Below are 19124 nucleotides of genomic sequence, written 5' to 3' on the forward strand. Positions count from 1 at the left end.
CTCTTACCATATGATTCAGCAATCACAGTCTTTCATAGTTACTCGAAAGAGTTAAAAACTTATGTCCACATAAAAACCTGCACAGGGATGTTTATAGCAGCTTTATTCATAATTTTCAAAACTAGGAAGCAACCAACACATCCTTCAGTAGGTGAATGGATAAATAAACTGCGACACAACCCGACAATGGAATATTATTCAGCACTAAAAAGGAATGTGTTATCAAGCGATGAAAACACATGTAGGACCCCGCCATGCATGTTATTAAGTGAAAGAAACCAAACTGAAAAGCCCACATACTCTATGATCCCAATTCTATGACATTGTGAAAAAGGCAAAACTGTGGGAACAGTAAAAAGATCACTGGCTTCCCGGGGCTAGGGAGGAGAGAGGGATGAAGAGGCAGAGCACAGAGGATTTTTAGGGCACCAAAACCATTCTGGATGATACTACAGTGGGGGATCCACGACTTTATTCATTTGTCCAAACTCAGAATGTACAAGAGTGAGAGTGAACCTCAGTGAAAACTATGGACTTTGGGTGATCATGATGTATCCAAGCAGCTTCCTCCATTGTAATTCATGTACCACTGTGATGGGGGATTTCGATAACGGAAGCTCAAGCTCCCATATGCATGCGATGGGGCAGGGGAATTAGAGGAAACATCTGTTCCTTCTGCTCAATTTTACTGTCCACTAAAAATGCCCTAAAAAATAAAGTCTATTAAAGAAAAACTTGCATACACATACATACTAATTAGGTCAGCGTTCCCAAGTTTGCCATAACACTTACTATAAAGCCCAAACACCACAGCACAGCACACATGGCCCTGCACCCAGGTCCCACCCTCCACTTTTCCTCCCTACTCTCCAGCCACTCTGGCCTCCTCTGTTCCCCCATTCCCACCAGCCCTTTGCTAGCTGACTTCCCCTCCCTCTTCCTGCAGATCCGTCTCCAGCTGGTTCCTACCCATCATTCCCATCTCAGCTCAAGTGACACCTCCTCAGTGAAGCCTTCTGTGATCACCTTTCTAATACTCCCACACGCACTTACCACCATGCTTTATCACACTGCTTTTATTTTCTCAGTGATATGGAGTTGCTACCAGAAACCCTCTTGCTTGCATATTTATGGGGGCACTTGGTTATCGTCTTTCTTTCTCCTTTGGTGTATAAAGCTGAGGCCTCCTCTATCTTGTTCAGCATTTTATCTTCAGCCTCTAGAAGTGTGTTTGGCTCACAGCTGGTGCTCTATAAATATTTGGGGAAAGAGTGCTTGAAATGAGATCAAGTACGCTGAATGCTTGACAAAGAGCAAGCGCTCAGCCTCACCCACACCAAGGCTGCCCAAAGGCTGCTCTGATGCTTCTTGGCTGTCCTCCCACGGGGTCTAGGATTCTGCCATTGTCATGAAAGCAGCCACAGGCAATACATACATGAATGGGTGTGGCTGTTTTCCAATAAAGCTTTATTTAAGAAAATAGGCTGAGGGCTGGGTTTGGCCCATAGGTCCTAGTTTGCTGATTCCTGATCCAGGACAGTCTCCTCTGGGGTCCCTCTTGTATGAAATGGAAGTTTCAGGGCAGGAACTAGCATTTGCAAAGCAGCTATGTCTCAGTCAAGGCCCCTGAAACGGTGCGTCTCAGCAGGACCCTGGGCGTGAATTACAACAAAGTTACAGTTCATAAACTTTATTGTTCAGCAGGGCTTTGACCCCAACTTTGCTTTCTGCTGATTTTTTCAAAGAGCCTTGGAGGTGGGCTCAGTGCCGTGATCACTGATGCATCAGGGAAAGGGAGCTTGCACGTTTAATTAAGTGTTATTCAAGAAATAAAATTCGGGCCCTCAGCTGACAATGCAGAATATTAAAGCATCAATTTCCTGAAGGAAACCTGCCTTAATGAGATTCTCCAAATAAATGAAAGGTGTGGGGTGAGGAACATATTAATCCCAGCTGCTAATGTCAGCCCCATCAACCCAGAGAGATGTCTTGATCAACAAAAACTGATGGTATCAGTTAACTGTGGGAAAAAAAAAAAAGGGTCTTAGACTCTGCTGAGTCATCTCTAGTCCCAAGGCAGCCAGACTCTTGGAAAGAAGACCCTTCATTCCCATTGAGCCCCTAGAGTGAGGTGAAGCCATAGCAAGTTGTGTCCTTACAACCAAAGGAGGTAATAAGTGATGAGAGCAGAGCTGGTTGAGGACTGGAGTGGAATGCCACAGTGCTCTGCCCTGGTCGTGTCCCAGGCAACCCTTTCATTAGTGACTTGGAGAAATATAAAGACAGAGGGAGATAGTGACCTCATTTGTTGAGTTCAACTTGCTGGAGTTCAATTAATTTATGTAAGATATCTGAAATCCTTAGAACAAAATAAGTGTCTAACAAATGTTTCATTTTCTTGCCTAACCCTTCATCCCCCTCCTTCCCCCCAGAAACCAATGTGAATAAGATGTATTTATTCATCAAATAACATCTTCGTGACTTTTGCCATTTTTAGACTCTGTGTTCTATTAACAATATATTATCTTTAATTTGACTCATTTATTATCTAAAAAAATACATTTTAAAGGATACTTTATATCGCTACTGTAAATGAAAAACTGGTTTTACTTGTCACCATTAAAACGTAGCCATAAAGACAAATGCAATGAAAATGAAACATTGTTATTGTGGCTAAATGTCATTGCTAGATAAAAGCTGTGAGCCAGAGTTTCACTGTCTCTTTGTTAATGAGAGAGATGAACAAAAGTTGGAAAAATGTTAAAAATACACAAGAGCCAACTGAGACTTTATTACACTATCAGCTGTTCAGTGATGTTTAAGGTCATGTCTACGAGCCATGACCTATGCCTTAAGTCAAACTGAATCTGTTACTGTTGCTTACACTCAAAGACCGCCAGTTGATATACAGTCTCTTGATTGACAGCTCTCCCAATATCTCTGGACCTACCACTTCTGCTTCCAAATGCCACAGAAATGCTTCATTCCAGAACAAGAAATAAAACAAAGCTCTGTTCCAAGCACAGCCAGTTAAAAATATAGAGGCTGCTGAGGTCTTTCTTGTCTCAAATAAAAATGGTCCAGAATTCAGTGCAGAAGTGAATCCTTTCTGATTCGTTATCCCCAGATGCAATACCTGGTATCCAGTAGACATCAAATCCATTGGTGTTGGATGGTGGTTGATTAAATCCAGCACTCTGCCCCTCTACTACACAACCAAAAACACCTGCTGCTGTCTGGGAAGAAAGTTTCAGTGTATGTATTTTCCCATCTATTTCTGCACCTAGAGATCAGGGACATTTCCTAGAGTGATTGGAGAGAATGTCAATCTTTATTTTGGGTGGGATGCATCTGCTTTGGGGAAGTTTGATTGAATGTCCAATAGCCACTATTAGTCTTCACTGATTGCTAAATATAAAGAATCAGAAAAGACAATCAGATTGTGAAAAATCTCCCACATTTATTTTTGCAGTGCTGTTAAATCCATTTCTGATTAAAATAATTCATCACTTATCTATAACAAGCAGTACTGGATGGTTATCCATATGTGGAGCTGTCTTAGAAATAGGCACCAATTCAAAATGGTTTTTAATAAAAATACATTATTTTTAGCCAGCAATTTGGTTCCAAGAGCTGCTTGCTGACAAAGGAAAGGGAACTGTTCTGAAAGCCAGTGAATGTTTTTCCAGAAAATAAATTAGGCAGAGAACAGGAGAGGCAGCTAGCTCACAATGTGATACAAGTTCATGGTGCTTACCTTTGTTACAAGTTTCATTTTTCTTAATTTTTGGTGGGAGATGAGGGTGGGCTGTAGCTGTCGTTTTGTTTTTAATGAAGTTAATCAAACAGCCCCTGATAACCCAGGCTGGGTTTATAGTTTCCTTGAAAGTATCATGACTTGGAGAAAATTTTAGAAATAGCACATTATATGCCCACATTCAAAAAGTCCTTGGTGTGGCATTCGAGACCCTTCACAATCTAATCTCAACCCACCATTAGGGAATTTCCCCCAAATCTATGCAGCATTAAATCCTTATCTTTCTTCAGGATAGCAGGCATGATACGTTCTCTCTGAAAATAAAGGATGGAGGCAAGAAAACATTCATTGATGCTTTCATTTGCATAAAGAAAGTCTAGAAGGAGTGTCAGGAGACAAAAGAAAGTGGTTATATGGGGGAGAAGAGACAAGGAGGAGGGTGGGAAGTGAATGGATGATGGACAGCATAGGTGGAGGGAGGTATTTCACTATGCACCTTTTTTTGCCTTCAGATTTTTGGACTATGGGAATGTATCACCCATTCAGAAATGAAAGGTAAGGATGAAAAGGGGGAGGAAGGAAAAAAGGAAGGAAGGAAGGAAGAGGGAGGGAGGAATGAAAGAAGGAAGAAAGGAAGGAAAGAGGGAGGGAGGGAGGAAGGAAGGAGAAAGAAAAAGAAAGGAAAGAGAGAAAGAAAGAAAGACGGATGAAAGGAAGGAAGAAAGAGAGGGGGAGGGAGGAAGGAAGGGAAAGAAGGAAGGAGGGAGGGAGGGAAGGAAGGAAGGAGAGGGAGGAATGAAAGAAGGAAGGAGGGAGGGAGGGAAGGAAGGAAGGAAAGAAAAGATGGCAAAATGCAAGGGAGAAGGAGGAAGGAAGGGAAAGAAGGATAGAAGGAGGGGAGGAAGGAGGGAAGAAAAGAGAGGGAGGGAGGGAAGGAGGGAGGAAGAAAAGAAAGAAAGGAACGAAAGAAAGAGGGCAAGAAGGAAGGAAAGAGAGGGAGGAAGGAAGGAAGGAAGGAAGGAAGGAATGAAGGAAGGAAGGAAGGAAGCAATGAAGGAAGGAAGGAAGGAAGGAAGGAAGGAATGAAGGAAGGAAGGAAGGAATGAAGGAAGGAAGGAATGAAGGAAGGAAGGAAGGAATGAAGGAAGGAAGGAATGAAGGAAGGAAGGAAGGAATGAAGGAAGGAAGGAAGGAATGAAGGAAGGAAGGAATGAAGGAAGGAAGGAATGAAGGAAGGAAGGAAGGAAGGAATACCCATTATCACAGGAACATATTTTCAAGCCTTTGCACTTGCCATTCCCACTTCCTGGGATGACATGCTCAACCTCACACCCACATACACCTTTCCATATTTTAACAAGAAGACTCCTGTGGGTGCTTCAGAACCCAATTTACATATCACCTCTTCTGTGAGTACAACACCTGGGTAGAGTCCTCTGTGCTCCCAAAGCCCCTTGGTTAGGATGTGAACTGCCTTTTGGCAGAACTGCAAATTCCTTATCCTTTGCTGAAGTATCAGATCCTAGCATGCTGCCCAACACATAGTAGATGCTTAATAAATATTTGTTGAGGGAGCAAAAGAATGAATGAATGAGGAGGCATAAGGGGGATGGGTGGCTTAGCGGTAAGAGCATGGACTTTGTGTCAGGCAGACTGGACTAATAAGGGCTGTGTGACCTTGGAAACACAAATCGACCTCTCTGAGACCCAACCCAGCCCCTCAGAGGGTGTGGTAAAGATTCAATATGCTAACTCATGTGCAGTGAACATGCAGTGTTAGCTAAATTTTTTTTTTTCTAAAGAACAAACATTTATTTTCTTATAATTCTGGAGGCCAGAATTCTGAGAGGAAGCTCTTGACAGGGCTGGTTTCTTCTGAGGAGTCTCTCCTTGGTGTGGAGACATCTGTCTGCACCCCTTGTCCTCACTTAGTCATCCCTCTCTGGGTGTCTGTGTCCTCAACTCTCCTTCTTTTCTGTATTTTTTAACTGAAAATAAAAATTGCATACACACACACACACACACACACACACACACATGCACACACACACACATATGTATATGGTGTATGATGTGATGTTTTGAAACACATATACATTGTGGAATGGCTAAATTGAGTCAACTAATGTATGTATTATTTTACATAGATTTTTGTGACAAGAACAATTAAAATCTAGTCCTCTGGCAATTTTCAGGTATACAAAACATTGCTATTAGCTAGAGTCACCATGGGTAGAACTGCTCTCCTGAGTGCTCCTCCCTAAGTGAAATTTTGTGTCCTTTGACCAGCGACTCTCTTCCCCCTGCAGCCCCGGTATCCACCATTCTACTCTCTGCTTCTATGAGCTCGACTTTCCCGAGAGTGAGATCACGCAGTGTTTGTCTTCCTGTGTCTGGCTTATCTCACTTAACATAACGTCCTCCAGTTTCATCCATGTTGTGGCAAATGACAGGATTTCCTTCTTTCTGATTGCTGTATAGTACTCCAAGGTATATATAAAGAACATATAGTTCTGATTATTACATACTCATATATATAATGTTGGGGTTACAATATATATGTAATGTACAGTGTATATATATATATAAAAATATACACACACTATACATACATAGTAGTATATATATACATGCATAGTAGTATATATATACACACTCTGCCATATATAGTAGGGTATATATAGTATATATCACATAGCTGTATACATAGTATATATCACATAGCTGTATACATAGTATATATCACATAGCTGTATACATAGTATATATCACATAGCTGTATACATAGTATATATCACATAGCTGTATACATAGTATATATCACATAGCTGTATACATAGTATATATCACATAGCTGTATACATAGTATATATCACATAGCTGTAGATATAGTATATATCACATAGCTGTAGATATAGTATATATCACATAGCTGTAGATATAGTATATATCACATAGCTGTAGATATAGTATATATCACATAGCTGTAGATATAGTATATATCACATAGCTGTAGATATAGTATATATCACATAGCTGTAGATATAGTATATATCACATAGCTGTAGATATAGTATATATCACATAGCTGTAGATATAGTATATATCACATAGCTGTAGATATAGTATATATCACATAGCTGTAGATATAGTATATATCACATAGCTGTAGATATAGTATATATCACATAGTTGTAGATATAGTATATATCACATAGTTGTAGATATAGTATATATCACATAGTTGTAGATATAGTATATATCACATAGTTGTAGATATAGTATATATCACATAGTTGTAGATATAGTATATATCACATAGTTGTAGATATAGTATATATCACATAGTTGTAGATATAGTATATATCACATAGTTGTAGATATAGTATATATCACATAGTTGTAGATATAGTATATATCACATAGTTGTAGATATAGTATATATCACATAGTTGTAGATATAGTATATATCACATAGTTGTAGATATAGTATATATCACATAGTTGTAGATATAGTATATATCACATAGTTGTAGATATAGTATATATCACATAGTTGTAGATATAGTATATATCACATAGTTATATATATGTATATATATATGGAGACAGTAGGGTATATATGCTCTGTCTCTATATATATGGTAGTATGATATATATATGGTAGTATGATATATATATACACTATATATGGTAGTATGTGTATATATACATATAAATACACATATAAATATGTATAGACATATACATATAAGATAGTATGTGTATATATAGTATATATATAAGATAGTATATGTATAAATATAAGATAGTATGTGTATATATGCATACACACACTACCATATATACTACATATATACTATATATAGTAGTGTGTAGTATATATAGTATGGACATGGTTAATGTGGACATGGATAGTGTGGACATGGTTAGTGTGGATATAGTGTAGACATGGATAATGTGGATATAGTGTGCACATGGATAGTGTGGATATGGATAGTGTGGATATAGTGTGGACATGGATAGTGTGGATACAGTGTGGACATGGATAGTGTGGATATAGTGTGGATATGAATAGTGTGGATGTAGTGTGGACATGGATAGGGTGGATATATTGTGGATATGGATAATGTGGATATGGAGAGTGTGGAGATAGTGTGAACATGGATAATATGGATATAGTGTGGATATCGTTAGTGTGGATATAGTGTGGATATGGATAGCGTGGATATAGGGTGGATATGGATAGTGTGGACATGGATAGTGTGGATACAGTGTGGATATAGTGTGGATATAGTGTGGACATAGTGTGGACATGGAGAGTGTGGATATGGATACTGTGGATATAGGGTGGATATGGATAGTGTGGACATGGATTGTGTGGATATAGTGTGCACATGGATAGTGTGGATATAGTGTGGATATGGATAGTGTGGATGTAGTGTGGACATGGATAGGGTGGATATATTACGGACATGGATAATGTGTATATGGAGAGTGTGGATATAGTGTGGATATCGTTAGTGTGGATATAGTGTGGATATCGTTAGTGTAGATATAGTGTGGATATGGATAGTGTGGATATAGTGTGGACATGGATAGTGTGGATATAGTGTGGACATGGGTAGTGTGGATATAGTGTGCATTTGGGTAGTGTGGACATAGTGTGGACATGGAGAGTGTGGATATGGATACTGTGGATATAGGGTGGATATGGATAGTGTGGACATGGATAGTGTGGATATAGTGTGGACATGGATAGCGTGGATATAGTGTGGACATGGTTAGTGTGGATATAGTATGGACATGGATAGTGTGGATGGAGTGTGGACATGGATAGTGTAGATATAGTGTGGACATGGATAGCATGGATATAGTGTGGTAATGGATAGCGTGGATATAGTGTGGACATGGATAGCATAGACGTGGATAGTGTGGATGTAGTGTGGACGTGGATAGCGTCGATATAGTGTGGACATGGATAGCACAGATATAGTGTGGACATGGATAGCGTGGATGTAGTGTGGACATGGATAGCGTGGATGTAGTGTGGACATAGATAGCGTGGATGTAGTGTGGACATGGATAGTGTGGATGTAGTGTGGACATGGTTAGTGTGGATATAGTGTGGACATGGATAGCGTGGATGTAGTGTGGACATGGATAGCGTGGATATAGTGTGGACATGGATAGTGTGGATAGAGTGTGGACATGGATAGGATGGATATAGTGTGGACATGGATAGTGTGGATATAGTGTGGATATGGATATCCACACTCATCCACATATAGTGTGAATATGGATATCCATCTCGTCCACTGTGAATAGTGCTGCAGTAGGCATGGGAGTGCGGATATCTCTTTGATATGCTGATTTACTTCCCTTTCGATGAATACTCAGTCATGGGATGGCTGGATTATATGTCATCTATACTTAGCTATATTATTGTGATTGGGTTTGTGGTGTGTGTTATCTCACTCTCTGACAATTGCCCCACACTGTCCCTGCCACCAGTTTGGACGTTCTTGGGCACGGGGGCCCTGACTGCTCCATCTCCATTGCATTTCTGCAGTGCCAGCCCCAAGCGAGAAATGGGGAGACAGTGAATGAAGAACCCTCATCAACAGAGAAGGAAGGGGCAGGTAGACAGAGTGGAATCACTGCTGCTGATAACTGGGACCCCAGAAATGCACAGCACCCTTAACTGGGAGTGACCAGAAGCTCAGTCTTGCAGCAAATGCCTCCAGGGGATTCAAAATGATTGAGAGCTGGGCCAGGAGCCATGTTTAGCCTGCCAGTGTGGTGCCCACTCACTTCCTCCTATTGGGAGGTGCCTTGGCCCTCAGCTCACCGCCTCTTTGCCCAGGGAGCCCCATCCTGGCATATCTTTCCCCTCGGTGTCAGCCTGCCCTAGTCCCTGTACATGAGCCTTGCAGGGTCCCGTGTCCCTCTACCTGGGCTTCAATCTTTCACAAATAATATGTGTCTCTCCTGTCGGACCAGCTCTTTGCAGGTATTGCCACATAAATGTTGTTTTCTCCAATTTACCAAGGGGAAAACTAAGTACCAAAGAGGTTAAATGACTCTCACAATTGCACAATTGTTATTAAAGAACAAAGCCAGGGCTGGGAGCAGTGGCTCCCGCCTGTAATCCCAACGCTTTGGGAGGCCAATGCGCGTGAATCGCTTTAACTCAGGAATTTCAGACCAGCCTGGGCAACTGGCAAAACCCTGTCTCTACCAAAAATACAAACATTAGTGGAACATAGTGGTGCATGTCTATAGTTCCTGCTACTTGGGGGCTGAGGTGGGAGGATTGCTAGAGCCTGGGAAGTTGAGGCTGCAGTGAGCAGTGCTACCACCACTGCACTCCAGCCTGGGCAATAGAGCAAGACCTTGTCTCAAAAAAAAAAAAAAGGATAAAGTCAGGACTTAATCATAGGTCTACCTGATTCCAATACAAGGACTTTTAACTCTTATACACCACACACTGCCTTCCCTATGAGAGATATAGCACAGACTCACTGATTATTACACTTATTCCACCATGATAGTGCCTTCAGGTAGCCTGTTTCAACTGGTTATGTAGCCCCAAAAGGCATCTCTTGCCACTTGTTTGAATACTTCTCCAAATATGGCGCTCACTCCCTCACCATCTCTTCTCAAGCTTGCTGTCACTGCACTGGTAGACAAGCTGATGCCCCTTGGATCTTTCCAGCTCTGTTCCAGCTCTGAGGGTCTCTGCTGGCCCCCACCTAGACTCCCACCTGCGGGGCTGAACCTGATATCCAGCTACAGAGGGAAACTTTCCTCTTCCATGCCCTGACACAGTGCTGGGCACACAACTGATGCTTAAAATGGCTGCTTCTGGGTTTTTGCCTAGGTGACCAGACCCCTGCAGGAAGGACTCTCCCTTCATCCCAGACTCTCTCTGATGCACTTGAATATTTCTTTAAATATAACTGTGTTGGTGCCTTCACAACTTACCTTGGGTGGCTGGGAGGGCAGACAACTCTGGATGAAGAGGTATTAATCACCCTGGATATGAGATTCCCATTCTCATTTGCTCTATCCACTCTTTCTTTTATTAAATTGTCACCGCGCATGTACTGTACTGGCACTGAAAACCCAGAAATAAATCAGACAGTCCCTGACCTCAGAGAGATTCCCATGGAATCAGGGTGATACAAAAAGAAACATATAACAAAAATGCAAAGTGGAAGGTGAACCGATCTCACCATAATTAATCAACACATTGCATCGTTCTTCATTGGATGCTGCCTGGCTGTGTACACAGAATGCTTTGAGAGAGAGGATGTCTGGATTTCTGATCACTGTTTTGGCCTTGGACACAGCCTGCACTCACTTAGTGGGTACTCATGGCTGACCTCATGAATGAACAAATGGATGTGAATGAATTAATGTCCTAGGGGTTTATACAACGTGTTGTTGGAACACAGAGGGCAGAAGCTAGCTACTTGGAAAGCAAAGTGTTGAAGGATAAATAGAAGTTCACTTCATGGATTGTGTGACAGTGGGTGTGCATATTCGGGGCGGGAAACTGGGGATGACGAGACAGTGATCCAGCAGAAGGAACTATGTGGACAAAGACAAAGAGATATGGTGAAGACTGGCATGTTTGGGGAATGATGAGTGTTTCACGATGACTGCTGAAAGCACTACAATCCTGTACAAATGCACTGGATTATATGAATGTTGAGGACAGCCACTCGGTCTGAAATATGACTTGCGGGCACTGAAAACCAGACCATGCCAGTTACACACTGCGCCCCGGGAGGGTCTGTGTCCACACCGGCCAGGAGCGAACTTCCCTCCTATCCCCTCTCCCTCTGTCCATCCTGGGTTCCCTGACCTGCAGACGTAACCTCGAGTGACTACCTGCCCTGGGATAGAGACTGTCAGTGCCTCCAGAGCAGACAGGCATGTGCTCAAATTCACGGCACTCTCTGGCAACTTGGCAGGTGATGCGCCCTTTCTGGGGTCTGACAGATCCCCAGGCTGCACATCATCGACCCGTGTGCCTACCCCCGCACACTGTGATTAGCCGGGGTGCGATGACAGCCGGCTGACATTAATTATCTGTGAGTTAGAGGCATCTAGGAGCACAAACAGAGGGCTGTCAGCAAAGCAAAGCAGCGTCATTATTGCTCCTGTGGCTTGCGGCTGGGACCTTGAGCAGTGACATGGGCCTTTCAGGTTCAAGGAGGGGTGGGCATGGCCAGCAGCCCTTCCCAGCCATCTCCAGGGAGGTCCACACACAACCTTTGGGTTAATTTCAGAGAAGGTCAGGCATCCAGTGGTGAGCAATGCGTTACTCATCACTCTGCCACAACGCCCAGTCCATTACCGCATCCTGACAGTTTCACCTCCGAAATAGTTCTCAGATCTGTTCACGTCTCTGCATTTCCACGAATCCAGCCTGGTCTCTCCACACGGCAATTGGCTCCTACCTGGTTCCTCCTCTACTCTGGCCCCCTCTCAGCCATCACACCACTCAGCAGTCAGCGTGGGGCTTTCAAACTCCAAGCCAGGCTGTGTGCTGCTCCGCTCGGAATCCACCATCCCTACAAACCCAGCACGTGGCCACGAAACCTCTGGTTTCTGTTTCCCCCAGATCTCTGCTCCCCCATCACGTTCACTTTCAATGGGTTTCTCCACTGTGCCCCACAGCCTCTGGCCATGTGACTTTTGCACATGCTGTTCCCTCTGACTGGATCACTCTTCTTACCCCAGCCTATGACCTGGGGCTCCTTAAACCTCCTGTCCTTTCCCCTATAAAGCTTCCCTCAACCCACAAAGCACAGCCAGTTCCTTTGTCTTGCAAGGAGGCAACACAGTGTAGTGGCCATAAGCATAAAAGCTGGTGTCGGTTCAAATCCCAGCCCAACCCCTTAATAGAATGGCTGTGTGACTGTGGGCAAGGTTGTTTTGTTTTGTTTTGTTTTGTTTGAGACAGAGTGTCGCTCTATTGCCCAATCCAAGCAAGTTTCTTAACCTCTCTGAGCTTCAGTTCCCACCTCTATAAATGGAGACAACCATAAAATCAACCCTGCAGGGCTGTTTTAGGGACTAGCTGAGTTAAGAGAGTAATAGACCCCTCTTGGGGCACAGCCTAGCACAGGAGTACTATACAAGCATTCACTGTTGCTGTGGATACATTTCTAACTTATCTCTGTTTGTAACCTTATCCTTGTTGGTGTGATCATTTGATTACTTTTGTCTTCTTCCATACACTCTAGGCCAGGGTTTTCCTAACTTCACGGGCATTTGGGATGGGCAACTCTGTTGCAAGAGCTGTCCTGTACATTGCAGGACAATCTCGTCATTGGATGCCAGTAGCACCTCCGTCGTTGTGACAACCATAAATGTCTCCAGACTTGACCTGGTGTCCTGGTACAGACCCCTGCTCTGGACTCTAGAACAGCAAGGAACATCGATCATCTTCTCCAACAACTCTTCCCAGCCCCTAGCACAGTGCCTGGTCTCAGGCAGCTGTTCGTTAAGTGTATTTTAAGTGAACAAAAGCATGAATAAATGAATGCACACCAAAAGGTTCTGTAATATAAGGACCTCAGGAGATATGAAATCAGAAGATCTAGGTTCAAGTTCTGCTTCCACTCCTCCTAGAGGGGTCACCAAAGGCAAATTATTGTCTCCTCAGAGCCTCAGTTTTCCCATCTGTGAAATGGGAGTGGCAATCATTATCATGATCCCCTTCCCATCACAGGGAGTGCGCTAAGGCTCAGATGAACAAACAATGAAGTCCTTTATAAACTGCTGAGTGCTGTGCAGATGAGCAGGTTATAGTGCCTTCCCCCTTTTAACCTGAAAGAATGGCTTTCCTCCTATCAGCCTGCTGCAGCCTGCCTTGTCTGGAAGCGTCTGGGTTGTGACGGGGCATGGGCGTGTAATATATGTGGTACATAAGGAAGATAATATATCCCTTCATCTCCCTTTTAATACGGCTGTAAATATGTCTTATGGGGGAGATAATAGAGATATGGCGCACATAATGGGGATGATGGATCAGACCGATAAGATCTCACACTTATCACGAGGGCAGCTTGTCTGTCATTTCCCACATTATGGAGGGTGTCTTTGGTAGATTGTGGTGTCAAGTGTATTCTGAATTATGGGAAGCCCAGTGCACTTAATTACCTTATGTTTCTAATAAGGCGAGGAGCAGCGTAGTAGCGGGGAGAGAGCTGGGCTCCAGGGTTTTGCTGACCTAAGTTCATTCCCTGGCTGTGTGAGCTCAGGCACAGCATCTGCCCTCTCTGGGCTGCAGTCACCTCATCTGTTCAGTGGCTGTCACGGCACAATGGGACCTTTGAAAAGAATGTCCCTTTAGATGAAGGGCAAGGACAGGGAAAACAAGACAATTCTGTCCCCAGTAAATTCCAAGTACCTGTCAAATGTGCAAAGCGAGGTTGATTTTCAGGAAATGACTCCACCCAGGGGACTCAACGATTTGACTCCTAAAATGAATCAAAGCATATTCTTCTGCTTTTTGCTAGCTCCTTTGGGGTATCGGGCACAGTGGGTAGGACGTGGAGTTCAACCCAACAAACTAGGGGTTTGGCTCAAGTACCCTGGCCTCTCCTTTCATCGCCTCAAAATGTAAATTGGGAGTGATAAGTGCTTCTACGCTGGATGGTCATTGTCATGACCACATGGGAGTAACTGAGGTGTATCAACTGCTCAGCTCAATGCCAGGTCCACAGAAAACACTCAACTGGTGAAAAATATGTGTAAGACGTGGGAAGTCTTTTCCATCTGGTGACAGACTGTACCCTTCCTGTCCTCATGACAGTCCTCAGCCTCTTCCTAACAGAGCATAATGAAAAGCTGCTGGATTTCCCAGCCCTGACACACAGACTTAAAGTTAAATTTGGGAGGTCTCCTCAAAGGCTCAAGCTACCCAAGGTTTGACAGGTCCATGTCTGGGAATATTGCAATAACTCAGGTTGGAGCCTAGAGTTGAGCGAGGACATTCTAACTACAGAGGCCAGGACCCAGGGCTGGCCAGTGAACCTCCAGATGCCTGAGTCCTCTCACTGAAAACCAGATCCCCAAGGAGGGTCCCACACTCACTCACTGCCCCTTGCCACCAAGCCTGAGGCCACACCTCTGAACTCCAGCCCACTGAGCCAGCCTATGCCAGTGCCCCTCCCTGGGATGGCAAACCTGCCCCTCTCTGACCTCCTTTCCCCATCTGTAAAAGGAGATGCTCAGCTGGAAGAATTTCTAAAATGGTATTTAGGCTCCAAAATGCCATCATTTAAGTCTTTTTCGGGTCTCTGGTATATGCCTGACCATTAACCAGGAGTACCAAAGTATCGCACTTTCATGGGATTGAAATTTGATTAGGAACAGTGAAGAAATGCTCAAAGGGTGGCATTCCTGTAGGCAGAGAGGCCCTGGAGCCAGGCAGGCCTCAGCTATGCAAGCTGCCCATGGAGGTGGCAGTTCCTATGTATGCTTCTGCACTGGCGCCAGAAATTCAGTGTAGACTACTGGGTAAAAGTCTGATTCCTGGATTCAGATTAGGGACTGGGCGTGGTGGCTCATGCCTGTATTTCCAGCACATTGGGAGGCAGGCAGGAGGATTGCTTGAGCCCAGGAGTTCAAGACCAACCTGGACAAAATAGCAAGACCCTGTCTCTACAAAAAAAAAAAAAAAACTTTTTAATTAGCCAGGCATCCTGGCACACACCTGTAGTCCCAGTTACTCAGGAGACTGAGGCAAGAGGATCACTTGAGCCAGAGAAGTCGAGACTGCCGTGAGCCATGATCATGCCACTATACTCCAGCCTGGGGGACAGAGCAAGATGCTGTCTCAGAAAAAAAAATAAAAATAAAAGTAAAATAAGTATTATTTATTATACTTAATAATTTTAATTAATAAAAAATATTATTTATATACTTCTTCTTATACTTCACCTGTTATTAATTATAAAACTATTATTTCTGTCATGTTAGCCATTGTTACATCCCCTGCCCTGCAATGGGTGCTCAGTTACTACTGCAATAAAAGATAATAATGCTGTCTACCTCCCAGGGCTCTCCTGAAGATCAAATTAGATGATGCAAGTAAAAAGTGTTTTCACTCAGTGTCTGGCACAATGCTTTGCATTAATGAAGATACACAACCTTCGTAGCAACAATTTTTTCAACAGAGCAAGGTATCCCTATATTGCAAACTCCAGCACGTCAAAATGAACTGGAAATCATGTTAAACTGGACATTGGTCTGAGAGGGAGGTGGGGGTGGCTATGAGAGGGTGACAACAGGAGATTTTTGTTGTTGGATCTTTTCAGTATCTTGGCTGTAGTAGTGGGCACACAAGCCTACATGTGATAAAACTGTACAGCACTTACTATACAGTACACACAAATGCAGGCACACACACAAATGAATACAAAACCAAGAAAATCTCAGTAAGATCAGTAAATCGAATGAGTGTCAATGTCCTTGCTGTGATATTATTCTGTAGTTTTGGAAAATATTACCATTGGGGAAAAGTGGGAAGGCTCTGTGTTATTAATTACAACTGTACATGAATTTAGAGTTATCTCAAAACAGCTAGGCATGATGGCTCATGCCTGTAATCCCAGCTATTTGGGAGGCTGAGGCAGGAGGAACACTTGAAGCCAAGAGTTTGAGACCAGTCTGGGAAACGAAACATAGCAAGACTTTGTCTCTACAAAAGAAAAAATATTAGCTGGGCATGATGGCCCACCCCTGCAGTCCCAGCTACTCGGGAGACTGAGGCAGGATTGCTTGGGGCCAGGAGGTGGAGGCTGCAGTGAGCTGTGATTGTGCCACTGCACTCCAACAAAGGCAACAGAGCAAGACTCTGTTTCAAAAAATATGTATCTCAAAACCAACACAGATTGCTAAGCACCACCCCGAGAGTTTCAGTAGATCTAATGCAGTAGAATTTTCATTTCTAACACATTCCTGAGTAATGCTGATGCTGCTGGTCAGAGACTAGACTTTGAGATCCACTGCCTTAGGGGAAAGGCTAAACTGCTATATCAAGAAGGCCCCGAAGAAGGCTCAAGAAGACAGAAATGTTGCATTCTTGTGATAGCCCCAGTGTGAACAATCCAGATTAGTGGGCAGAACCGGCTCCATAAATTCCTGCAAGGATCTGGGTTCTTTCTATGTATCGCCTCATCATTCCCTTACGTGCATGGTTAGCTGTGTCTGGGAAAAAGGAAGGAGAGGAATTCCAATACAAGAAGCTTCTCTGGAAGCAGGTTAGGAGAAGGTTGCACTCAGCAAAGAAAGCATCTGGGATGGGCTCCATCCAGGAGCATCTCAGAGGAGAAGTGAGAGGCCACAGAGAAGGGATTGGAAGAACTCAGGGACATTTCGACACCTGTGCCACATCTCCTTTGATTCCTCTGTTACAGTCTTTTATTTTCCTTTGGATATGAGAGAAATAATAACTAAAATAAAAATGGCCCAAGGAGTGATTTCTGGAGCAAGTCTTCATGCGCTCTGCCCTGCCTGGGCTCTTCCTAGCAGGTCCCATTGAGTTCCTCCCCTCTCCAGCTCCCTTTCCCTAATTTTCCTCTGCCAGCACCTGGGCTGTCTACTTTCCAGATCCAGGGTCTGGGGAAAGCAAGATCACTCAGCAGGGTGACCCTGAGGCTGCAGGTTCTGGACTGGAGAGTAAGTCCACTTCAGCACAGTAGCTGTAAGGACAGTCAGACCCTTTTCTAGAGTCCACTGGACCCCTCTATTTGCTTTGCAGCGGCTTCCATTGTGCCACTTGTATTCCACAAGTTGCTGAAATATTTTATACACTAAATGAGTTAAGGTCATTAAACTTTCTTGGGAGATAGTTTCATGTGTTTTCTCAGAATCCATAAGCAAGCAAACCACCTAGGCTGTGCACAATTACAGGGAGCCCAGAGAAGCTCCTGGGCAGTGGGCCTGTTTTATTTCCCTTTGGAAATGTTTAACTCAGGTTGCCAAATTCCCTTCCATATGAGTTAGTGACAAATGTCTTAATTAAAGTAAGGATGGTGAGCAGAGCAGCTTCATCTCCCTCTAAAATGAAGGATGGAGCAACAAGATGATACAACCAGCCAGGTGCATTGGATCACACCTATAATCCCAGCACTTTGGGAGGCCAAAGTAGGAGATCTCTTGAGACCAGGAGTTCGAGACCAGCCTGGGCAACATGGTGAAACCCTGTCTCTTCAAAAAATACAAAAAAAAAATAGCTGGGTGTGGTGGTTTGTGCCTGTAGTCCAGCTTCTTGTGAGGCTGAGGTGGGAGGATTGCTCAAGCCCAGCAAGTCGAGGTTGCAATGAGCCATGATCACACCAGTGCAACCTGGGGAACAAAGTGAAACCCTGTCCAAAAAAAAACCAGAAGAAGATACACAACCAATGGTAAATGGGAAAACTGGGTTTTAGTGATGACGATGATGATGATGACGACAATAAAATGAATGGATATAGCACTTGTTGGTTACATAATAGGCACCAGGATCTTACATTGTGTGTATCCCATGATACATAATTGTATGCTACAAATGGAGACTCAGAGAAGGTCACACAGCTAGTAGGTGGTGCTGCCTGGACATTAATTCGGGTTTTGTACTCTTCAACTGTCTTGCAAAGCAACTGTCCAGTGCTAAATTCCAGCTCTCATGTGTATTTTTTTTTGACCCACAGAGTGCATTGACTTTTTGAATGGTTGCCAACACTTAAATATTGGGGTTCTTCATCGCTAATTATTAGCGGAATGTAAATTAAAACCACAATGAGATACCACCTTACTCCTGCAAGAATGGCCATAATTAAAACATCAAAAAAACAATAGATGTTGGCATGGATGTGGTGAAAAGAGAACACCTTTACACTGTTGGTAGGCGTGTAAACCAGTTCAACCACTACAGAAAACAGTATGGAGATGCCTTAAAGAACTAAAAAGAGAACCACTATTCGATCCTGCAACCTCATTCCTGGGTATCTACCAAAAGGAAATGAATTCATTATGTGAAAAAGACACTTTCACACGCATGTTTATAGCAACACAATTCGCAAAGATATGGAACCAACTTAAGTGCTCATCAACCAACAAGTGGATAAAGAGAATGTGGTATAAATACACCATGGAATACTACTCGGCCATAAAAAGGAAGAAAATAATGTCTTTTGCAGCAACTTGGATAGAGCTGGAGGCCATTCTTCTAAGTGAAGTAACTCAGAAATGGAAAACCAAATATTGTATGTTCCCACATATAAGTGGGAGTTAAGCAACAAAGATACAAAGGCATAGAATGATCTAATGGACTTTGGGGATTTCGGAGAGAGAATTCTGA

At 43.3% G+C, this 19124-nt stretch overlaps 1 annotated feature.

Annotated features, from left to right (window-relative positions):
* Nucleotides 11974-12268: an enhancer, noted in NCBI's record as "tiled region #9783; K562 Activating DNase unmatched - State 8:EnhW". NCBI's record gives its function as "activates a minimal TATA promoter and a strong SV40 promoter by Sharpr-MPRA in K562 cells {active_cell/tissue: K562}" and the evidence as "EXISTENCE:reporter gene assay evidence [ECO:0000049][PMID:27701403]".

Source organism: Homo sapiens, chromosome 16, assembly GCF_000001405.40.
Source record: "Homo sapiens chromosome 16, GRCh38.p14 Primary Assembly".
Taxonomy (NCBI): domain Eukaryota; kingdom Metazoa; phylum Chordata; class Mammalia; order Primates; family Hominidae; genus Homo; species Homo sapiens.